Raw genomic sequence first — 24,173 nt, forward strand, 5'->3', positions numbered from 1 at the left:
AATCAGATCTGCATTTTAAAAACACACAAAATGGTTTGACAGTTTATCAAAAAGTTAACATAGAAATTATCAAAGGACTCAGCAATTTCACTCCTAGGTATACACCCAAAAGAATGGAAAAGGATTCAAACAAATCCTTGGACATCAAATGTGCATAGCAGCACTGTTCACAGTAGCCAAACGGTATTTTTTAATTTTTCTGTAGAGAGTAGGATTTCACTTTGTTTCTCAGGCTGCTCTTGGAACTCCTGGGCTTAAGCGATTCTCCTGCCTTGACCTCCCAAAGTGCTTGGATTGCAGGTGTGAGCCACTGGACATGGCCTGATCCAAACGTCTATCAATGGCAGATCCAAATGTCTATTAATAAATAAATGGATAAACAAAGTGTGGTATAATCATATAATGGCTATTATTCAGCCACAGAAAGGAATAACATCCCAGTCCAGGCCACAGTAGAGATGAACGTTGAAAACATGTGCTATGTGAAAGGAGCTAGGCTTTTAATTTTATGGATAATTCCATACAAATGATATCTCTTTGATACACTGATTTCTTTTCTTTGGAGTATATACTTAAGTAGTGGCATTTCTGGATCATATGATAGCTCTATGTTTAGTTTTCTGAGAAACCGCCATACTATTATCCATAGTGGTTGTATTAATTTACTTTCCCACCAAAAAATCATGAGGGTTCCCTTTTCTCAGCATCCTCCCAGGCATTCCTTATTGCCTGTCTTCTGGATAAATGCCATCTTAACTGGGTTGAGACATTATCTTGTAGTGTTGATTTGCATTTCTCTCATGATCAGTGAGGTTGAGCATCTTTTAATATGCCTGTTTGCCATGTGTATGTCTTCTTTTCAGAAATGTTTATTCAGATCTTTGGCCCATTTTAAAATCAGATCATTAATTTTTTTCCTATTGAGTTGTTTGAGCCCCTTATGTATCCTGGTTATTAATCCCCTATCAGATGGATAGTTTGCAAGTATTTTCTCCCATTCTGTGATTGTCTCTTCACTTTGTTTATTTTTTATTTACTTTTATTTTTTTTTATTTTTTATTTTTGAGATGGAGTCTCGCTCTGTCGACCAGGCTGGAGCACAGTGGCTCAATCTTGGCTCAATGCAACCTCCACCTCCCGGGTTCCAGCAATTCTCCTGCCTCAGCCTCCTGAGTAGCTGGGATTATGGGCACACGCCACCATGCCCAGCTAGTTTTCTGTATTTTTAGTAGAAATGGAGTTTCACCATGTTGGCCAGGCTGGTCTCGAACCCCTGACCTCAGGTGATCAGCCCACCTCGGCCTTCCAGAGTGCTGGGATTACAGGCGTGAGCCACCACGCCCAGCCCACTTTGTTTATTGTTTCCTTTGCTGTGCAGGTTGTAACGTGATGTGATCCCAGTTACCCATTTTTGCTCTCGTTGTCTATGCCCGTAGTCAAGAAATTTTTGCCCAGACCAATGTCCTGGAGAGTTTCCCTAATGTTTTATTTTAGTAGTTTCATAGTTTGGGGTCTTAGATTTAAGTCTTTAATCCATTTTGACTTTATTTTTTTATGTGGTGAGAGATAGGGGTCTAGTTTCATTCTTCTGTACATGGATATCTGGTTTTCCCAGGACCATTTACTGAAGACAGTGTCATTTCCCCAGTGTATGTTCTTGGCATCTTTGTCTTGGAGGAATTTAGATACACTGGAGGGACCCGCAGAAATAAGATATGGCAGCACGTATACAAATTAAAGCCTTAAAATTTTTGGAGAGATTTTTCAAAATTTGGAATGATATAAATATAATGAAGAACTTTGAACTTAGCCATTTCTAACTTATCTGTTCCAGGAGCACATAAACAGACTAATCGGGATTATAAAACATGCTCACACTAAGTAACTAATATGCAGACATTTATGGAGCGACAACTGTGTGCCTGGCACCAAGGTACAAAGATAAATGAAGCTGGAAACCTTCTCCTGTGGAGTACACAGTGGCAGGAAAGACACAAATATTAAAGTTAAAATTATGTCACGGTGGCAGGGCACGGTGGCTCACGCCTGTAATCCCAGCACTTTGGGAGGCCGAGGCGGATGGATCATGAGGTCCGGAGTTCGAGACCAGCCTGGCCAACATGGTGAAACCCCGTTTCTACTAAAAATACAAAAATTAGCTGGGCGCGGTGGCAGGCACCTGTAATCCCAGCTACCTGGGAGGCTGAGGCAGGAGAATCGCTTGAACCCAGGAGGCAGAGGTTGCAGTGAGCCAAGATCGCACCACTGCACTCTAGCCTGGGTGATAGAGTTAGACTTCATCTCAAAAAAAAAAAAAATATGTCATGGTGTGATCGATGTTGAGCTAGCAAGGAGGGGTGGCAGGACCAGGAAAAGTCCATCAAAATTGGTGATGGGAGTCATAAGGATGAGTAGACTTCAGCCAGTCAGAAGATCAGAGAAAAGGTGCTACAAGTAGACAGAACAGAGTCTTGAAGATGGCTTCAGAGGGATATGGTGGAACGAGCCTGAATGCAGTCTAGTAAGCCAGGGACATGAGGCAAGGAGAGGACAAAGATGGAAGAGGGTCTGGAGAGGTGGCCAAGGACAGCTTAAGGAGACTTGGAGGGTGGTCGAAGGAGCTGTGGCTTCCTCTTGATGTCTGGAGAGTCACCAGAGGGTTTAAATCCTTGTAATCCCAGCACTTTGGGAGGCCGAGGCAGGAGGATCACTTGAGGCCAGGAGTTCAAGACCAGTCTGGGAAACATAATGAGACCCCCCCATCTCTACCAACAATTATTTACAAATTAAAAATAAATAAATAAATCCTATGAGTGACATGTTCAGCCACCTGAGGGAGGATGGGATCGGGGGAGGTGATGACTGAACAGCTTCAACCAACTCAGAACAGCCAGTTGTCAACTTCTGAAAATTGTTGCAACCTGGTTGTTAAACACAGCTCTGATTAAAAGTAAACTGTATGAAATTACAGTGAAATAAATTAAGGGAATCTAGGAGTGAGCTCTGTCTTCTCACTTCTGTCATGATTGAAAGGTTCATCTATGACTCTTAGCGTTATTTTCAGCACCTACCAATTGATGGCAGGTCTTCTGTAAATACAGATTATAAGGAGATTGATTCTTCTATCTGAAAGTCTCAGAAGTTCTTAGAGACAAATAATTTTCTTAAAGATTAAGCAGGTGAGAAAGTAATGAACTCTAGAAGCTTAAAGCTGTAATAACTGCTTAAAATGTATCACTTCTTAATTATTTCATATATATTTTACCATTGTCTGTGCTTTTGAGTTTATGACTATTGCACGTGTACTGTGGAAATACTCCATATACTAGTAGCACATCAGCAGGCTTCAACCTTTTTGGCACCAGGGACCAGTTTCATGGAAGATAATTTTTCCACGGACTGGGGTTGGGGGATGGTTTTGGGATGATTCAGGCACATGACATTTATTGTTGTGCACTTTATTTCTATTATTATTACATTGTAATATATAATGAGGTAATTATACAACTCACCATCATGTAGAATCAGTGGAAGCCCTGAGCTTGTTTTCCTGCAACTGGACTGTCCCATCTGAGGGTGATGGGAGACAGTAATAGATCATCAGGCATGAGATTCCCATAAAGAGCACCCAACCCAGATTCCTCGTGTGCACAGTTCACAATAGGGTTCACGCTCCTATAGGAATCTAATACCAGCATGCCACCATTGACCCATCTGACAGGAGGCGGAGCTCAAGTGGTAATGCTCACCCCACCCCACCCCTTCCGCCACTCTCCTGCTGTGTGGCCCAGATCTAACAGCCACAGACCGCTACCAGCTGGGCGTTTTGGGGAACCCCTGTCTTATGGGACACAACAAAACCAGTGCTGAAGAAGAAAAATAACCTTGGCGTCTTCTTCAGTTGTGAGACTATTGTGACCGTGTCTGTGGGTGACTGAGCTCTTATGTAGCTGCAGGGATTGGAGTAACTGAGGTCACTCACACTCATGACCTGGGTTCTGCCACTGCTTCCTCCACCATCTCACATCACAGCCGCTTGGGATCTCTGTTGACTCTTCGAAAGCATGGGTGGATGTGGATTCACAAAGACATTTTCCAGCCAGAAGGCTCAGAGAGGGGACTTAAACTGGAAAACTTAGGCCTAGAAATGGCCACAAGACTGGCACTGAAACGGTATGCCAGTGCTCAAGGATTAGGATGCCCCCAAGGAGGTATCACTTGGGGAAAACCGTTGATGATTATCTCTATGGAATTACAGAAATGCCAAATATATAACCCAAGAAACTTGGTGTGCACTCAATGACACAGCATGGGAGGGAGACCTCTTACTTCTATCCAGATGTTTGTGATGTATGGGTATCTTTGGCCACCGGGTGCTCCTACCATCAAAAAGAGCTTCAAGACAGGCTTGTTGGGGCCTTGAGTCCTTTTACCCTAGTCTTTCAGCTCTTGCTAAGAAGAATCCCAGCTAAGTGTGGTGGCTCACATCTCTAAACCCAGCACTTTGGGAGGCCAAGGCAGGCGGATCACTTGAGGCCAGGAGTTTGAGACCAGCCTGGCCAACATGGTGAAACACCGTCTCTACCATAAATACAAAAAATAGCCGGCCGTGGTGACACGCGCTTGTAATCCCAGCTATTTGGGAGGCTGAGGAAGGAGAATCACTTGAACCTGGGAGGCAAAGGCTGCAGTGAGCTGAGATCGTGCCACTGCACTCCAGCCTGGATGACAAGAGTGAGACCTTGCCACACACACACACACACACACACACACACAAAACTGAAATGATTGTAGGTGCTCCCACAGTGCCTACACACATTGGGTTTCTCTCCAGAATGAGATCTTCCATGTATTCGAAATGAACTGGGAGAGTCAAAGGTTTTCCTACCCACCTTGCATTTGTAAGGTCCATCTCCACTATGCATTTTCACATCTTTGAAGGTTTGGGGGGGAAGTGAATGTTTTCTGAAATTCCTAACATTCATAGAGGTTTTCTCCACTGTGAGGCCTTTCGTGTATGTGAAAGGAGTGGTGAAAACGAAAGGCATTCCCACATGGCTTACATGTATATGCCTTCTGTCTACATTCCTGATATTCACAGGGTTTGCGTCCAAGGCGATCTCTGATGTGCCTTTCAGTGGATGGATAGCCCACGCCGACCTCTCCACACACATGGCTTTCAGGTGGCTTTACTCCAGGAGGCGTTTTCTTATTCAGATTATGACCTGGAATCTGGCTGAAGGCTTCTCCACATTGACTACCTTCTTTATTTTCACAGGGTCTCTCTACCATATGATTTCTGTACAAAATAAGTACATTATTAAGTATTTTTATAAATAATTTATTTGTTATTGATGGGTATTGGATTTATGTGGAGTTTTTTGGAGACAGGGTCTCACTCACTCTGTTGCCAGGCTGGAGTGCAGTGGTGCGATCTCAGCTCACTGCAACCTCCGCCTCCCAGGTTCAAGCGATTCTCCTGCCTCAGCCTCCTAAGTAGCTGGGATTACAGGCACCCGCCACCACACCTGGCTAATTTTTGTATTTTTAGTAGATTCGGGGTTTCACCATGTTGGCCAGGCTGGTCTCAAACTCCTGACCTCAAGTGATCCACCTGCCTCAACCTCCTGGATTTATGTTTTTAACATCATCAGTGGAAGCATAGGTAGGATTTCTAACCTGTTTCCACTGTTTGGCCATGAATGGATTGAATGGTCTGCAGGAGCGCCCAACTACAGCTGCTATGAAAATAGAAATATTAACATGGGGTTTCTTCTTCTTTTTTTTTTAAGACAGGGTCTAGCTCTGTCACCCAGGCTGGAGTGCAATGGCACAATCTTGGCTCACTGCAACCTCTACCTCCCAGGCTCAAGCAATCCTCCCACCTCAGCCTCCCAAGTAAGGGGGACTTATAGGTGTGTGCTGGCACACCTAGCTAATTTTTTTTTTTTTTTGGTAGAGAATAGATCTCCTTATGTTGCCCAGGCTGGTCTCAAGCTCCTGACCTCAAGCAATCCACCCTTCTTGGCTTCCCAAAGTGCTGGGATTATAGGTGTGAGCCACTGCACCTAGCCTATATGTGGTTTCATAATAGTGTTTCCATGTAAACTTTTTTTGCAAACATATATATGTCTCATTTAAGTATATATTTATAGAGAAAGTTTTCTAAGAATAAACAGATTGAAACTGGGCTTGTTTTTAGAATTTCCTGACAGTCTACGATTCTCTTGATGGACACTGCTTTCTCTTGAAAATTACCTTAAATTTCTCCCAGGATTTTGGTACAGATCTTCAATGTTCTTATCTCCCCATTTCTTTCCTAAAATGCAGGTAGAGAAAAATCATTATGAATTATTACAAAATTATTTTAAAATTATTGAATTCTAGGTTCATGGTACACCATGACCATGGTACACTGGACTGCAATGGCACAATCTTGGCTCACTGCCACTTCTACCTCCCAGGCTCAAGCAATCCTCCCACCTCAGCCTCCCAAGTTAGGGGGGGCTACAAGTGTGTGCCAGCACACCAGCTAATTTTTTTGCCTATATATTTATCAAAGTATTTCTTTTCTACATTCCAAATCATTGAGCAGCTCAATTGATGAGTAAGAAAGACTTGTTCTCTAAATGACTAAGAAAAGAAATGTTGTCACCCTTAACTACAGAGGCCAGCATCCTGATGGTTTCCCGCATCACATCTCTGTAGAGTTTCGTCTGGGAAGGACCCAGCAAAGCCCACTCCTGTAGGGTGAAGTTGAAAGCCACATCCTCAAAGGCTGGAGTCCTGAAGCATCCACATGTGTAGAAAAGGATGGTGAGACTGACAGCCCTGGGTATCTGTACTTACCACATAATAAGTTCACATGATTCCATGTTCTCCAAACATTTCTTCTATGACTTGGTTATCACACCTCTTACGCTGTGTATACTTACTTCCTCTCACATAGCAATTCCGATGCTAGAATTATTTGGTAAAGCAACCATGAAACACAAATACAGCTCTCCTTGGTGGGTCCAGGGAGTAGGATGTACTGCCTGGGTCACCCTAATTTCTCTTCACACAGTGGGTCTATAGCACCTGTCATAAAAGTCCTCCTACCACCTAGTGTGCAGAAGAGACTTAACATTAGGAGTCCTGAAACTCTGTATCCTTAGAAATGTTTGTTCACAAAGTTTGATCTTTGATAACATATGGGATATGAAATTTGGATGGGATACCATGAACCCAACTGATAAAAGAGTCGTATAATTTCCTAAAACTGAAACCAATAAGCAAAAACCTCTTTGGAAGCAGTAAAATTTAGGAAAACCTAAATTTTAATTGACGAATTGCTGGAGATAGTGTGGACAATTTGAGAGTTAAAAATGCCAGGAGGCCCAGACCTAAGGGGTCCCCACTAATTAGTGACATGCACCTCCAGAAATCCTACCAGCTCTTCCAGTGAAGATGAGAGAAAAACTGCTTCCTGCTTTTGGCAGAAGATGTGAAAGATTAGCCATTTTGAAATATGCCCAGAGAATGCTATTCTTCTTAACATCTCCTGCCTTCAAAAGAAACTATTTCCCAAAGCCTACCAACTGGGATGCTGGCAGAGCTGACCTCCTGAAGCAAGAGAAATACCCAATTCCACCCACTTCAATCTCCCTGCCACAACTAGGGAAGGGTGAGAATGAGAAGTACTTAAGAAAGCTACAACCCAGAAACACAGGATTCCAAAAAATGAGGCCAAAGCATAGGTCAATGGAATGCTTCCCCACACCCCACACCTTACTGCCACTTCAAGAGGGCTTCTGTATTACAACAGCAGAAAACAAGTGAGACAGCTGCATGCCTTATGCCACATTTACGAAGTCACTACGGGCACACATACAAGCTGAACAACATTGATGAAGTTGGCATATTTCTAGAAACACACAACATAGGACTAAGTCATAAAGAAAGAAAAAATTGGGCCAGGCGCAGTGGCTCATGCCTGTAATCCCAGCACTTCGGGAGGCTGAGGCAGGCGGATCACAAGTCAGGACATCGAGACTATCCTGGCTAACACGGTGAAACCCCGTCTCTACTAAAAATACAAAAAAATTAGCTGGGCGTGGTGTCGGGCGCCTGTAGTCCCAGCTACTCGGGAGGCTGAGGCAGGAGAATGGCATGAACCCTGGAGGCGGAGCTTGCAGTGAGCCAAGATCGCACCACTGCACTCCAGCCTGGGAGACAGAGCAAGACTCCGTCTCAAAAAAAAGAAAGAAAAAATTGGAGCAGATCTACAACTAATAAGGAGATTGATGCAGTAATCAAAACCCCTCAACTCACAAAAGCCCAGCACCATACAGTTTCAGCGATGAAACAGACCAAACACTTCAGGAAGATTAACACCAATTCTCCTCAAACTCTTCCAAAAACTTTAGGAGGTAGGAACATATCCTAGTTTATTCCTTGAGGCCCTGAAATTGTGCTGACAATAAAGACAATGATACAATATTTGATTTGCAAATATCCCTTATGATTATTGACGCAACAATCCTCAAATAAATACTCCAAGGTACAGGAATCAAAACAGTGTGGTACTGGCCTAAAGACAGAGATATACATCACTGGAATAGATACAGGGGCCAAGAAAGATACCCATATATATATGGTAAAGTGATTTTTGACAAGAATGCTTAGATAATGCAATGGAAAAAGGCTGCTCTATTTTAAAAAATGGTGCTGGGAAAACTGGATAGCCACATGTGAAAAAATAAAGTTGGACCCATAATTTATATAACATAGAAAAATGAAATAAAAATGGATTAAAGACTTAAAGGGACCAGCTCAAACCAAACAACTCTTAGAAGAAAGTGTTAAACAAAACTTATGAGAGGCCACTGTTTTGGACTGAGCTCCTGCACTAGGCCCCAGCAGACCAGAACAAACCAAAATGGAGTCACTCAGGCTAAGTACCACATAATCAAACTGAACCTTTAAGGAAGGAGGCAAATCCTCAAATGCACCAGTTTTTCCTGAGAGCAGGAGAGTCACAGCAACCAATAAAAAAAACAAAAATAAAACCCAGCCAACCTGAGCTGGCATAATATATAATAAGGCCGCTTACAAAAAAGGAACCTAATGATTTTTTAAATTGTTCTGTTTTGTTGTTCCTCTTACAAGAATCACCTATTCCATTATACAAAGCAGGAGTTCTTATTCTATTTTATAGAATGGGATGCTTCTTCGGTTCAGGAATTGCGAATAAAAGCTAAGTAGATCTTTAAATTTGTTTTAATTTTTTTTAAACCTAAGGCAAATGTTTAACCCACCCTTAGCCAAAATACAAGGCCTTCTTTATTTCCCTCCGAAGAAGAGGCAGACCTTAGGATAAAGCTTTCTTCTGGTCTCTGTCATCTCCCTGCCAACCACCACCACCACCACCATCACCTTCTCTCTAATCTTGTTTGCTCCTCCCTGTGAAAGAATCATTCCTAACCTTTGAGGTGTTTTTTCTTTTTCTTTCTTTTTTTTTTTTTTTTTTTTTTTTTTGAGACTGAGTCTTGCTCTATCGCCCAGGCTGGAGGCAGTGACGTCGTGATCTCAGGTCACTCCAACCTCTGCCCGCCCTGGGATTCAAGCAATTCTCCTGCCTCAGCCTCCTGAGTAGCTGGGATTACAGGTTTCTGCCACCACGCCCAGCTAATTTTTGTATTTTTAGTAGAGACAGAGTTTTGCCATGTTACTCAGGCTGGTCTTGAACTCCTGACTTCAAGTGATCTACCCGTCTTGGCCTCCCAAAGAGCTGGGATTACAGGCGTGAGCCACCACGCCCAGCTGAGATGCTTTTTCAAGAGTCGCCTTAACATGAAGTCACTGTGTGAGGGTTTCGGCTCTCGAGTCAAGATAATTCACTTACTTTTAAAAGAAAATACTCAGCGTTTGAAGAAACCAACAAAATCCCTCAAACTCAGTGTCCATATAGATAGGCAGGGAAGACAAATTGTAAGGCGCTTGTATTTTATATAGCTCAACAAGAGAAGCACAAGTATCTATCCCTTTCAGACAACAAAGATGTGCCATTTAATTATTATTTCCATGACAATACACAGTTGAATAAATCATTATATTTGAATGCTTCTTGGTGTTGCCAAGTCCTGACCCACAGGGTTTTGTATTAATCTCTGAAGTCCAGGTACCAGGAAAGAGAAGAGTTATTCACCGTCACAAGTTCTCACTCTGGAAAGGAGAAAAATGGATGTTTTAATGAATCTTTGTAATTTACCAATTTAACTATGACACTTTATTGTGGAAATGTATTCATTTCGCTGCAGCCATAATGGAAGAGTGATTTTCCTTACTTTGCTGAGATTCTCAGCCCCAGTAGCCTTCTCAAGGCTAAGCCCTGGAATTCCATTTGAAATCACCCAAAAGAAAAGAACAAATATGAGAAATGTATCACACGCCATCTGGGTAAGACAAAATGTAAATTAAAAGCTTTATCGGATGATGGGTGGCTCATGCCTGTAATCCGAGCACTTTGGGAGGCCAGCCGGTGGATCATTTGAGGTCAGAAGTTCGAGACCAGCCTGGCAAACATGGTGAAACACCATCTCTACTAAAAATACAAAAATTAGCCAGGTGTGGTGGCAGGTGCCTGTAATCCCAGCTACTCCGGAGGCTGAGGCAGGAGAATCACTTGAACCTGGGAGGCGGAGGTTGCAGTGAGCCGAGATGGCACCACTGTACTCCAGGCTGGGCAACAGATCAAGACTCTGTCTCAAAAAAAAAAAAAATTAATGGATGAAATATAAGGCTAGACATTTCTTTTCTTTTTTCTTTTTTTTCTGAAATACACCTCTTTCTTGCCTCCTTGGATATATTCTATCTTGTCTATCAAACTCTACTAATAAAATCCATTTGATATTTAATTTTTTAAAAACTGAGGTTCAGGCTGGGTGCAGTGGCTCACACCTGTAATCCCAGCACTTTGGGAGTTTGAGGCAGGAAGATCGCTTGAGCCCGGGAGTTTGAGGTCAGCCTAGGCAATGTAGTGAGACCCTGACTCTATTATAAGTAAGTAAGTGAAAAAAAAATTTTCAAGGTGACAAACCCAGGGAGGGGTAGGGCAAACTGGAATACCGGCAAGTCTGACTCAAGTGTCAGATCAGGTCATCCTATATAACCTCAGACATGCCCCAAACCCTGTGCTGCTCACATATATACTCAGTGACCACCCTCCCAGAAGACACTGCATTGTGTGCGTTTCAGCTTTTTGCGTCACCTCAGTGAAGGTGGTTTTCCTGTCCTTAGCCATAGTTTTCTCCCTTCACTAGGCTAAGAGGATTCAAAGGACAGGGATCATTCCAGTCTTTTCCCTTCAATAGCAGCATCTGAGTGGCTGACCAGAGAGGTATTTCCAAGAAGTGAAAACTGGGCTTGGGGTGAGAAAAGCTAAATGTCCTAAGGGGTTTCCTTTTAGATGACGGAGGGAGATACCAGGGGACTCCTCCCTCCCGGGAGGTAGGGGGAGGGGGTGCACCCGGCGGCTCCCCTGAGAGGCCCCACAGGCACATCTCAGGCTGTCCTCTGGGAAGAAATGACCCAGGAGCTGATATTCATGACCCTCCAAGAGACCCGGCAGCTTGTGGGCATCTCAGATGAGCCCCAGGCAGTTCTGAAACCCAGGACCAGGAAAAGATAAGAGGGTGGGCTGAGGTCACATCACCCTGTAACGTTTCCAAAAGGGAACTGTCAGGCCTCTGAGCCGAAGCTCAGCCATTGTAACCCCTGTGACCTGCACATATATGTCCAGGTGGCCTACAGGAGCCAAGAAGTCTGGAGCAGCTGAAAAACAAGGAAGTGAAACAGCCAATTCCTGCCTTAACTAATTAACCCACCTTACGACATTCCACCATTATGACGTGTTCCTGCCCTGCCCCAACTGATCAATCGACCCTGTGACATTCTTCTGGACAATGAGTCCCATCATCTCTCCACCATGCACCTTGTGACTCCCTCCTCTGCTGACAACAGATAACCACCTTTAACTGTAACTTTCCACAGCCTACCCCAGCCCTATAAAGCTGCCCCTCTCCTATCTCCCTTCGCTGACTCTCTTTTCAGACTCAGCCCACTTGCACCCAAGTGAATTAACAGCCTTGTTGCTCACACAAAGCCTGTTTAGGTGGTCTTCTATACGGACATGCTTGACACTTGGTGCCAAAATCTGGGCCAGGGGGACTCCTTCGTGAGACCGGCCCCCTGTCCTGGCCCTCATTCCGTGAAGAGATCCACCTGCGACCTCGGGTCCTCAGACCAGCCCAAGGAACATCTCACCAATTTCAAATCGGGTAAGTGGTCTCTTCACTCTTTTCTCCAGCCTCTGTCGCTACCCTCCAATCTCCCTGTCCAGTCTTTTTCTTCTCTAGTAGAGACAAAGGAGACACATTTTATCCGTGGACCCAAAACTCTGGCGCTGGTCACAGACTCAGGAAGACAGTCTTCCCTTGGTGTCTAATCACTGCGGGGACGCCTGCCTAATTATTCACCCACATTCCACTGGTGTCTGATCACCTTGGGGATGCCTGCCTTGGTCATTCACCCACATTCCCATGGTGGCAAGTCATTTGCGGGGACGCCTGCTTTGGCTGCTCACCCCCGCCCTTCTCCGTGTCTCTACTTCTCTCTTTAAACTTACCTCCTTCACTTTGGGCAATCTTCCGCCCTCCATTCCTCCCTCTTCCCCCTTAGCCTGTGTACTTAAAAACTTCTCTTAAACTAACACCTGATATAAAACTCAAACGTCTTATTTTCTTCTGCAATACTGCTTGGCCGCAATATAAACTTGACAATGGTTCCAAGTGGCCAGAAAACGGCACTTTTGATTTCTCCATCCTACAAGACCTAGATCATTTTTGTCAAAAAATGGGCACATGGTCTGAGGTGCCTTGCGTCCAGGCATTTTTTACACTTCGCTCCCTCCCAAGCCTCTGCTCCCAATGTGACTCATCCCAAATTTTTCTTCTTTCTCTCCCGTCCGTTCCTTCAGTCTCTACCCCAACCTCAGAGTCCCCTGAATCCCCCTTTTCTGCAGACCCCTCTGACCTCTCTCCCCCTCCCCAGGCCACTCCTTGGCAGGCTGAATCAAGTCCCAATTCTTCCTCAGCCTCCGCTCCCCCATCTTATAATTCTTCTATCACCTCCCCTCCTCAAACTTGGTCAGGCTTAGTTTCATTCCATGACTAGCTCTCCCCCACCTGCCCAACAATTTCCTCATAGAGAGGTGGCTGGAGCTGAGGGCACAGTAAAGGTTCATATACCTTTTTCTCTATCAGACCTTTCCCAATCAGTCAGCGTCTGGGCTCTTTCTCATCAGACCCCACTAAATATACACAGGAATTCCAATATTTGACTCAGTCCTACACTTTAACCTGCAGTGACCTAAATGTCATCCTGACCTCTACCCTCTCCCCAGATGAGCAGGAAAGAGTTTATACCCTAGCCCAATCTCACGCTAACACCCGCCGGCATCATGAGCCAGACCTCCAAGAAGGCATCAGGGCAGTTCCCTGAGAGGATCCTTGATGGGAATACCAGACAGGCTCCCCAGGTATAGCTAGGCGAGATTACATGGTCTCTTGCCTAGCTGAAGGGCTGAAAAAGGCAGCATACAAAGCTGTTAATTATGACAAGCTTTAAGAAGCCACCCAAGGTAAAGATGAAAATCCAGCCCAGTTCATGGCCCGTTTGGTGGCTACCCTTAGAAACTTTACAGCCCTAGACCCTGAAGGGCCAGAAGGCCATCTTATTCTCAATATGCATTTTATCACTCAGTCAGCTCCTGACATTACAAAAAAAGCTTCAAAAATTGGAATCTGGCCCTCAAACCCCACAACAGGAATTAATCAATCTCGCCTTCAAGGTGTTCAACAATAGAGAAGAGGCAGCCAAGCAGCAACGTCTTTCAGAGCTGCAATTGCTTGCCTCTGCTGTAAGACAAACCCCAGCCATGCCTTCAGCACACAAAAACTTCAGAGCAACCAAACCACAGCCTCTAGGCACTCCTTTAAAACCATCTCATGGACCTTGCTTCAAGTGCCGCAAAACTGGCCACTGGGCCAAGGAATGCCTGCAGCCCGGGATTCCTCCTAAGCCTGTCCCACCTGTGCGGGACCCCACTGGAAATCGGACTGTCCAACTAATATCACAGCCCCTTCTAGGGTCCCTGGAGCTCTGGCTCAAAGCTCTCTGGCTGACTCCTTCCCAGATCTCCTCGGCTTAGTGGCTGAAGACTGATGCTGCCCGATCGCCTCAGAAGCCCCTTGGACCATCACAGATGCCGAGCTTCGGGTAACTCTTACGGTGGAGGGTAAGTCCATCCCCTTTTTAATCAATACGGGGGCTACCCACCCCACATTACCTTCTTTTCAAGGGCCTGTTTCCTTTGCCCCCGTAACTGCCGTGGGTATTGACGGCCAAGCTTCTAAACCCCTTAAAACTCCCCAACTCTGGTGCCAACTTGGACAACATTCTTTTATGCACTCCTTTTTAGTTAACCCCACCTGCCCAGTTCCCTTATTAGGCTGAGATATTTTAACCACATTATCTGCTTCCCTGACTATTGCTGGGCTACAGCCACACCCCATTGCTGTCCTTTTCCCCAATTCAAGGCCTCTTTCGCATCCTCCCCTTGTATCTCCCCACCTTAATCCTCAAGTATAGGATACTTCTACTCTTTCTTTGGCAACTGACCATGCACTCCTTACCATTCCATTAAAACCTAATCACCCTTACCCTGCTCAATACCAGTATCCCAGCCCGCAGCAGGCTTTAAAGGGAACTGAAGCCTGTTATCACTTGCCTGTTACAACGTGGCCTTTTGAAGCCTACAAATTCTCCTTACAACTCCCCTATCCTACCCATCCAGAAACCGGACAAGTCCTAGAGGCTAGTTCAAGACCTTCACCTCATAAATCAGATTGTCCTTCCCATCCATCCTGTTGTGCCAAACCCTATACTCTCCTCTCCTCGACACCCCCTTCCACAACTCATTATTCTGTTATCCACCTCAAAGATGCCTTCTTTACCATCCCCTTGCATCCCTCCTCCCAACCTCTTTTCACCTTTACTTGGACTGACCCTGACACCCACCAGTCCCAGCAATTCACCTGGATTGTCCGACCCCAAAGTTTCAGGGACAGCCCACACTACTTTGGTCAGGCCCTCTCTCATGACTTTCTTTCTGCCCATCTGCCTCCCACCTTATTCAATATGTTGAAGACCTTCTTCTTTGCAGCCCTTCTTACCAATCTTCCCAGCAGGACACTATCCTATCCTACTTCTTCAATATCTCTACTCAAAGGGGTACTGAGTATCCCCCTCTAAAGCTCATATTTCCTCCCCTAGTGTTACATATCTCGACATAGTCCTCCATCAACATACACGCACTCTTCCTGCAGACTGTGTTCAGTTAATCTCCCAGACCCTATTCCCCACCACCAAACAACAACTCCTTTCCTTCTTAGGCGTTGTTGGATACTTCCGACTCTGGGTACCAAGGTTTTGCCATTCTAACCAAACTGCTTTACAAACTCACTAAAGGTAATTTAGCTGATCCCATAGACCATAAGTCCTTTCCCCATGCTTCCTTTCATTCTCTCAAAAAGGCCCTAGAAACAGCTCCCACACTAGCACTCCCTGACTTGTCCCAACCTTTTTCCTTACACACAGCTGAAACACAAGGCTGTGCTGCTGGAGTTCTCACACAGGAGCCAGGCCCACGACCTATAGCCTTTCTATCCAAACAACTTGACCTCACAATTCTAGGCTGGCCCTCATGTCTACATGTGGTGGCAGCTGCCGCTTTAACACTTCCAGAGTCTCTCAAAATCACAGGCTATGCTCCACTTACCCTCTACAGTTCTCACAACCTTCAAGCATTAATATCCTCCTCACACCTTTCACACTTGCTGTCTGCCCCTCGACATCTCCAGCTCTATTCACTCTTTATTGAAACCCCAACAATAACTACTGCCCATGGGCCCGATTTCAACCCAGCTTCTCACTTAGCACCCAACACAAGTCCTGGCCAACATGATTGTATCTCCCTAATACACATAGCATCTTCCCCCTTTCCTCATATTTCTATTTTTCCAATCCCAAATCCAGACCACACTTGGTTTATTCATGGCAGTTCCTCTAAACCCAGTCAAATCTCGCCAGCTAAAGCTGGTTATGCTGTCGTGTCCCATACCTCTATTATTGAGGCTGCTGCACTTCCTCCCTCCACTACTTCCCAACAAGCCAAACTGATTGCTTTAACTTGTGCACTCTCTGTCGCCAAAGGAATGCACATTAAAATTTATATTGACTCCTAATATGCTTTCCACATCCTCCACAACCATGCTACCCTTTGGACTGAAAGAGGTTTTCTCACCACACAAGGCTCTTCCATTATCAATACCTCTCTAATAAAGGCCCTCCTTAATGCTGCTCTCTTGCTGGCCAAAGCTGGGTTCATTCATTGTAAAGGACACCAGAAACCAACTGATCTTATTGCTAAAGGAAATGCCTACGCCAACAGGACAGCAAAAGAAACAGCAAATGCCTCCACGCCTGCAAATATTCTAGCCCTCACCCCAAAAGGCTAGTACTTTTCTTTCTTCTCTATCACCCCCACCTACTCCTCTTCTAAAAAACCTGCTCTACCAGTCTTTTCCAACTCAGGGCAAGTGGTTCTTAGATCATGGAAAATTCGTTCTTCCTGCCTCACAAGCCCAGTCTACTCTCTCTTCCCTTCATGACCATTTCCATATAGGATATAAGCCTCTGGCTGGCCTCCTACAGCCCCTCATTTCCATCCCATCATGGAAATCCATCCTTAAAACCATCACCTCTCAATGCTCTGTCTGCCATGCCACCAACCCCCGAGGTCTTCTCAGGCCTCCTCCTTTTCCTACGCATCAGGCTCATGGATTTCCTCCGACACAAGATTGGCAAATTGACTTTATTCATATGCCGCGTGTCTGTAAATTTAAATATCTCCTGGTTTGGGCCAATACCTTCACCGGATGGGTCGAGGCCTTTCCCACTAGCTCTGAAAGGCTACTACAGTCATTTCTTCCCTTCTGACAGATATAATCCCCCAATTTGGCCTCCCTACTTCCACAGTTTCTCAGGCTCTTGGTATTCAGTGGAAACTTCATACCCCCTACCGTCCTCAATCTTCAGGAAAGGTAGAACGGATGAATGGTCTTTTAAAAACACACCTCACCAAGCTCAGCCTCCAACTTAAAAAGGACTGGACAGTACTTTTACCACTTGCCCTCCTCAGAATTAGGGCCTGTCCTTGAGAAGCCACAGGGTACAACCCATTTCAATTTTATATGGATGCACCTTCTTACTCAGCCACAATCTTGTTCCAGACACCAGCCCCCTGGGCAACTATCTTCCAGTCCTCTAGCAGGCTAGACAGGAAATTTGCCAAGCTGCTAATCTTCTCTTGCCTACTCCAGATTCCCAGCCATATGAAGACACCCTAGCTGGACGATCAGTCCTTGTCAAAAGTCTGACCCCTCAAACTCTACAGCCTCAATGGACCAGACCCTACCCGGTCATTTATAGCACACCAACTGCCGTCCATCTGCAGGACCCTCTCCATTGGGTTCACCATTCCAGAATAAAGCCATGCCCATCAGACAGCCAGCTTGATCTCTCCTCTTCCTCCTGGAAGCCACAAGATTAGGCCGAGAGCCGATCAGACAAACAACCTACAACCCTTAAGCTCCTGGCAGCGCCCAGCCAAGGCCATGCTTCCTTGCAACACTCCTTCCAAATGGCCATCCCAGCATGCTTCCAAGCAGGCTTCATCCGTTCCTCTGGACCCTCATCTCTTAAGACCTGCCGCCTATAAAAAGGATTATATCTTGAGACCCTATCCTCTAAAATTTTTTCCACACCCAAAACAAAAAATCTCTGGGTCAAAAGTCTAAAACGCTTAGGCTGGCAACCATCAGATCCTTGCCCATGGTGTCCTCAAGCCTACTCTCATGAAATGGACAACAGTACACGCATATGGGGCCAGTTCCACATATTTGGCAACCAGACCAGCATCCAGGACAACACAAAGTATGTTGTTTGTTGTTAGAGGGCTTGGGACATTTCACTCTTTGCCAGCCTCAGCTTAATCCAGGAGACAAAGATTATTTTCCTTATTATCTCTTCTGCATAGGATCTGCAATCAGAACTATTGAACTTCTCCATTCAGACCGCCACTCACACCTATGGGAAAAGGGTAATGTATCATCGGCTTAGCAACAGGGAATACTATTCGTATGATGGAAAATGGGGACAAAAGGCTTTGGTACATAAAACATTATTCCTTCCTTGGCCTAAAAACTCATCGCCACCTACATTAAAGCTAATATGCCTGATTACTGTTTTTAGAGAACTTATTTTATTAGGGCAGTTCCAAGCTCAAAAATACGCTAACTGGCACCTTGTTAGCTACATAAAAATGCACCCTAGACCCGAAACTTACTAGACTCATTATAAAATTTTCTTTAAGGTGTCCACGCAGTCCCTGGTCACACTTGAAGCAGTCCGGAGAAATATCAGCCCTACCCCAGTAATCCCCAGAAGGAACTTACACTTTTTTTTAATCTTTTCCTACAACTTCATATTTTATAAATAAAAAGACAAAAATGTCAGGCCTGTGAGCTGAAGCTTAGCCATTGTAACCCCTGTGACCTGCACATATCCGTCCAGGTGGCCTGCAGGAGCCAAGAAGTCTGGAGCAGCCGAAAAACCACAAAGAAGTGAAACAGCCAGTTCCTGCCTTAACTAATTAACCCACCTTACGACATTCCACCATTATGACTTGTCCACCATTATGACTTGTTCCTGCCCTGCCCCAACTGATCAATCAACCCTGTGACATTCTTCTCCTGGACAATGAGTCCCATCATCTCTCCACCATGCACCTTGTGACCCCCTCCTCTGCTGAGGATAACCACCTTTAACTGTAACTTTCCACGCCTACCCAAGCCCTATAAAGCTGCCCCTCTCCTATCTCCCTTCACTGACTCTCTTTTCGGACTCAGCCCACTTGCACCCAAGTGAATTAACAGCCTTGTTGCTCACACAAAGCCTGATTGGGTGTCTTCTATACGGACACGCGTGACAGGAACCTCAACCCAAAGGCAGTCTGATGAGGTGTCTAAGATAAAAGTAGCGGCACAAAGGCTTTTGTAAACAGAGGCGTTTCATGTGGTTTTCCTTTCCTTTCCTTATATGTGAAAAGGTGACAGAAAAGAAATCTTCCTAAAAGAGTCAGCCACTGCTCTGTGGAACGATGATCATTTAAATGCCACGTCGATTTGAAACGTACAACAAAGGGACTAACAGTTGAGAACCATGTGGATTGCAGTGGAGACGCTGGCGTTAGAGAATGCGGGGAGGGAAACGTTCATTACAAGATTTACGGCCAGCCCAAGGGGGAGCGAGGCTGGGGGACCGGGTCGCGGAGACCCGGCTTCGCACACCTTTTGGAAGACTCAGGGAGAAGCGGGGGCCGCCTTCGGGGGGAAAGGCGGGACTGGGGAGCCCACAGGCCATGGCTCCTCCCACAGGATCCCCAGGCCGGAGGCGGGATCCCCCCATGATCCTCCCGTGGCCCCCGCACAATCTGGGGAGATGCGGAGCTGCCCAGAGAGGGCTCTGGGGCGACAGTCACTGCGCAGGGACAGGACAGGACTCCCGGAGTCCCAGCTGCCGGCCCAGCCCCACCCTGCGGCCGAGAGGACCGAGGGCCGAGCTGCTCCAGGGGAACTCGGGTCCCAGACCCCGGAGTCGCAGCGGACAGGCCCGGGTCCCGCCACAGCCAGATCCGGCTGGTTCCACCAGCTCCTCCTCCGGTCTCGGGACGTCCGGCCCCGCACACTCAGCATTTCCGGCTTCCGGGTGTCCCGGCGTCCTCCCCTGGGCCTGCTCACGTCGCAGAGGGGCGGCGACGGGGATTAGAGGGGAGGAGGGCCTGCGCGAGCAGCAAAGACCCCAAACCCCAAAAAACAAAGAAACCGCCAGAAACTGAAGCTTCCACAGCCCGCCACGTCCCCCGGCTACGGCTACGCTCCTGATTGGATAGTTAGTACGGCCCCTAGTGCCCCTGATTGGATACCGCTTCAGGTCCCGCCCCCTGGGGTTAGAAAGACAGGAGACCCGAGAAGACACTTGGCTGCGTGGAGCCCAAATGGGCGGTTCCTGGCAACTGGGCTTGTTGTCTTCCTCGTGTCAGGATGTAAAAAGAAAAGTAGAGGTTCTTCTTCAAAGACTTCCTTCTTCATCTAATTAAGAATAAATAGTGTTTGAAATGCTTGGTTTTTGGTGCCATAAAGAAATAGCACTTTAACATTAATTTATTTAGCAAGGCCATTTTTACTCCCTGCAGAAAGGGTACACTCGCCAGCAGTTTTGCCACGAGCGTACACCGAGCAAAGGAGACAGGGTCATTTATAACCTGAGGTGTCCACCCTACTGCTGTGTCCAGTTTCCATTGGCTGGAACGGGACCTCACATTCTGTGTTTGTCCTGATTGGCTAGCAACTTAGAACGTTTTAAAAGAGGCAAAGGTGGAGGAGAACAAAGGAAGAAGGAAGTAACTTGTGGAATGCTGAGAAAGGTAAAAACACCTTCAAATAAGGAAGAGGAAGAGGCTATGACTTAATGCTTGCTTGGACCAGTATAAGCATACCAGGGCAAATATTTGGGCTAAATTGTGGGAGCTAAGAACATAAAGTATATTGATTTCTTTATTATGGCTAGCAGATATTTAAGAATGTTAGCACAGGTCTTTGAATAAATTTTGCTTTTAAGAGAAGTTACTATTTATTCCTAATCGAATGGGAAGGAAAATTTTTGAAGAGGAACCTCTACTTTACTTTTTACAAACAATAACTTGTTTTAGAAGCAACATTTATTTAAAGACTTGTACTAATATTCTTAAATATTTGCTAGCTGTAATAAAGAAATCAATGTACTTTATGTTCCTAGCTTTTACATTTTAGCTTAAATATTTGCTTTGGCATGCTTATACTAGTCTAACCAAGTATTAGGTCGTAGCTTGTTCTTTATTTGAAGGTGTTTTTACTTTTCTTAGCGTTCTACAAGTTACTTCTTTCTTTTGTTTTCTTCTGCTTTTGCCTTTTTAAAAAAAGTTCTAAGTTGCTAGCTGATTGGGATAAATACAGAGTGTGAGGTCTTGTTCCAGCTAATGGTAACTGGACACAGCAGTAGGGTAGACGCGTCAAGTTGTAAATGACCTTGTCTCTTTTGTTCAGTGTACTCTCGTGGCAAAAACTGCTAGCAAGTGTATCTTTTCTGCGGAAAGTAAGAAACTGGCCTTGCTGAAGAAATTAAATTCATGTTCAAGTGCTATTCTTTACAGCGCCCGAGAACAAGCATTTCAAACAAGGACCTCTGGGGATTGGGGGTGGGGGTGGGGTGACATTTGCAAGTGGACACTGGCATTCATCAGTACTCACTGGGCCCTTCCTCTTTCTTCCTCCTGGACTAGGGGAAATTCCACACAGTGTTGTCCATCAAGAAAAATGCCCAGACAAGGCTCAATCATTTTAGGAGGTTTATTTGCCAAAGTTAAGGACATGCACCCCTGACACAGCCTCAGGAAGTTCTGACATGTGCCCAAGGTGGTCAGGGAACAGTTTGGTTTTATACATTTTAGGGAGACATGAGACATCAGTCAATATATATAAGGAGTATTTGGTTCTATCCAGAAAGATGGGGACAATTCGAAGCAGGGAGAGGGCTTCCAGGTCACGGAGAGACAAGTGGTTGCCTTCTCCTGAGTTTCCAATATGCCTTTCCAAAGGAGGCAATCAGAATATGCGTCTATCTCAGTGAGCTGGAGGGATGACTTCGAATAGAATGGAAGGCAGGTTTGTCCTGAGCAGTTCCCAGCTTGAATTTTCCCTTTAGCTCAGTGATTTTGGGGGCCCAGTGGAGCCAAGGATCCCGTGGCGTCAGAGCAGGAGGGGAGGCCAGGCCAGGCAAGACTGGAACAGGAGGGAGGACCTTTGGGGTGAGGCTGTTGGCAACGAAAGTAAGGGTTTCTCATACCTTATCATTCAATCTATTCCTTTTCATACAAGAAGATAAAGACACAGCAGCAAGAACAATTATTAAATGCATGAAAAAAACAGAGTTATATGACAGCAATATTCCATAAAGGAATCAAAACACAAAAAGGCAAAAAATGAGCTTGTTCAGATAAGCAGGGTGCCACACCCACAGTTCAAAAAGAAAATCGCCTTCAAGGGGTTAAACTTATTCCCAAGCTTGAGAGCCATGTTCTGCTGAAGTGGAGACCCAGGGTGGACCAGACCAGGGGTGACGAGGCAGGGAAACCTAAGGATTTAACTCTGTCAGCCTACCATGTTCTCTTGCCCCATTCTCACAGTGTGGAAATGCTTCCCTCCTTCAATGCCTTGGTTTTTGCCAACAGAAAATTCTCACAAGGAGTTGTTACAGGAGAGGGGTCCTGATCCAGACCCCAAGAGAGGGTTCTTGGATCTCACACAAGAAAAAATTCAGAGTGAGTCCCTAAGCTGAAAGCAAGTTCATTTAAAAAGTAGAGGAATAAGGGCTGGGCATGGTGGCTCATGCCTGTAATCCCAGCACTTAGGGAGGCCGAGGCAGACAGGTCACCTGAGGTCAGGAGTTCAAGACCAGCCTGACTAACATCTAGTGAAACTCTGTCTCTACTAAAAATACAAAAATTAGCTTGGCATAGGGGTGCACGCCTGCAATCCCAGCTACTTGGGAAGCTGAGGCAGGAGAATCGCTTGAATCCAGGAGGATGAAGTTGCAGTGAGCCGAGATAGCGCCACTGCACTCCAGTCTGGGTGACAGAGTGAGACTCTGTCTCTCAAAAAAAAAAAATAAAATAAAGGAATAAAAGAATGGCTACTCCATAGACAGAGCAGTCCCAAGGGCTGCTGGTGGCCCATTTTTATGGTTATTTCTTGATGATATGCTAAACAAGCGGTAGATTATTCATGCCTCCCCTTTTTAGACCATATATGGTAACTTCCTGACGTTGCTATGGCATTTGTAAACTGTCATGGGGCTGTTGGGAGTGTAGCAGTGGGGACCACCAGAGGCCACTCTCGTCACCATCTTGGTTTTGGTGGGTTTTGGCCAGCTTCTTTACTGCAACCTGTTTTATCAGCAAGCTCTTTATGACCTGTATCTTGTGCCAACGTCCTATCTCATCCAATGACTTAGAATGCCTTAACCACCTGGGAATGCAGCCCAGTAGGTCTCAGCCTCATTTTACCCAGCTCCTATTCAAGAAGGAGTTGCTCTGGTTCACATGCCTCTGACAGACTCATTTTAAGATTCAGACCTGAATAAACTGTCAAATTCAAAAACTGTTGTTACTGGAAAGGTGTCTCCATCCAAACCCCAAGAGAGGGTGCTTGGACCTTGTGCAAGAAAGAATTCAGAGCAAGTCCATAAAGTGAAAGCAAGTTTATTAAGAAAGCAAAAGGATGGGCCGGGCCCAGTGGCTCACGCCTGTAAATCCCAGCACTTTGGGAGGCAGAGGCGGGCAGATCACAAGGTCAAGAGATCGAGACCAGCCTGGCCAACATGGTGAAACCCCATCTGTACTAAAAATACAAAAATTAGCTGGGCATGGTGGTGCACGCCTGTAATCCCAGCTACTCGGGAGGCTGAGGCTGGAGATCGCTTGAACCCGGGAGGTAGAGGTTTCAGTGAGCCAAGATCGTGCCACTGCACTCCAGCCTAGAGACAGAGCGACACTCTGTCTCAAAAAAAAAAAAAAAAGAAAGCAAAAGGATGAAACAGTGGCTACTCCATAGGCAGAGCAGCCCGAGAGCTGCTAGTTGGCTATTTTTATAGTTATTTCTTGATTATATGCTAACCAAGGGGTGGATTATTCATGAGTTTTCTGGGGAAATGGGTGGGCAATTCCCAGAATAAGTGTTCCTCCCCTTTTTAGACCATATAGGGTATCTTCCTGACGTTGCCATGGCATTTGTAATCTGTCATGGTGCTGGTGGGAGTGTCTTTTAGCATGCTAATGCATTATAATTAATGCATAATGAGCAGTGAGGCCAACCAGAGGTCACTTTGGTCACCATCTTGGTTTTAGTGGGTTTTGG

At 45.6% G+C, this 24,173-nt stretch overlaps 1 protein-coding gene, 1 long non-coding RNA gene and 1 pseudogene across 4 annotated transcripts, besides 5 other annotated features; 2 read left to right on the forward strand and 1 right to left on the reverse strand.

The window, feature by feature from the left end:
- Positions 4,975-6,769, reverse strand: ZNF861P (zinc finger protein 861, pseudogene; annotated as a pseudogene).
- Positions 11,173-12,372: an enhancer, noted in NCBI's record as "P300/CBP strongly-dependent group 1 enhancer chr19:15939001-15940200 (GRCh37/hg19 assembly coordinates)". NCBI's record gives its function as "activates an origin of replication core promoter dependent on BRD2, BRD4, P300/CBP, MED14 and CDK7 cofactors, with strong dependence on P300/CBP, by STARR-seq in HCT116 cells {active_cell/tissue: HCT116}" and the evidence as "EXISTENCE:reporter gene assay evidence [ECO:0000049][PMID:35650434]".
- On the forward strand, positions 11,929-19,303 carry UCA1 (urothelial cancer associated 1). The gene is given in 3 exon segments (NR_015379.3): positions 11,929-12,320; positions 14,237-14,338; positions 17,484-19,303. It is a non-coding gene; the product is annotated as a urothelial cancer associated 1 (long non-coding RNA).
- LOC124900418 (collagen alpha-1(I) chain-like) lies at positions 11,929-20,362 on the forward strand. Of its 3 annotated transcripts, XM_047439792.1 has the most exons (4): positions 11,929-12,320; positions 14,237-14,338; positions 18,200-18,262; positions 19,271-20,362. In XM_047439792.1, the coding sequence occupies exon 4, from the start codon at positions 19,384-19,386 to the stop codon at positions 19,987-19,989; it is 606 nt and encodes a 201-aa protein (XP_047295748.1). In that variant the 5' UTR covers positions 11,929-12,320; positions 14,237-14,338; positions 18,200-18,262; positions 19,271-19,383; the 3' UTR covers positions 19,990-20,362. The 3 variants fall into 3 exon arrangements, with proteins under 3 accessions (XP_047295748.1, XP_047295749.1, XP_047295747.1); XM_047439793.1 differs by having other exon boundaries at positions 18,200-20,362; XM_047439791.1 differs by lacking the exons at positions 11,929-12,320; positions 14,237-14,338 and having other exon boundaries at positions 17,951-18,262.
- Positions 17,920-19,119: an enhancer, noted in NCBI's record as "CDK7 strongly-dependent group 2 enhancer chr19:15945748-15946947 (GRCh37/hg19 assembly coordinates)". NCBI's record gives its function as "activates an origin of replication core promoter dependent on BRD2, BRD4, P300/CBP, MED14 and CDK7 cofactors, with strong dependence on CDK7, by STARR-seq in HCT116 cells {active_cell/tissue: HCT116}" and the evidence as "EXISTENCE:reporter gene assay evidence [ECO:0000049][PMID:35650434]".
- Positions 19,550-19,769: a silencer, noted in NCBI's record as "silent region_10287". NCBI's record gives its function as "represses an Ori minimal core promoter by ATAC-STARR-seq in GM12878 lymphoblastoid cells {active_cell/tissue: GM12878}" and the evidence as "EXISTENCE:reporter gene assay evidence [ECO:0000049][PMID:35858748]".
- Positions 19,900-20,129: an enhancer, noted in NCBI's record as "active region_14192". NCBI's record gives its function as "activates an Ori minimal core promoter by ATAC-STARR-seq in GM12878 lymphoblastoid cells {active_cell/tissue: GM12878}" and the evidence as "EXISTENCE:reporter gene assay evidence [ECO:0000049][PMID:35858748]".
- Positions 20,270-20,419: an enhancer, noted in NCBI's record as "active region_14193". NCBI's record gives its function as "activates an Ori minimal core promoter by ATAC-STARR-seq in GM12878 lymphoblastoid cells {active_cell/tissue: GM12878}" and the evidence as "EXISTENCE:reporter gene assay evidence [ECO:0000049][PMID:35858748]".

This window comes from Homo sapiens, chromosome 19 (assembly GCF_000001405.40).
Source record: "Homo sapiens chromosome 19, GRCh38.p14 Primary Assembly".
NCBI lineage: Eukaryota > Metazoa > Chordata > Mammalia > Primates > Hominidae > Homo > Homo sapiens.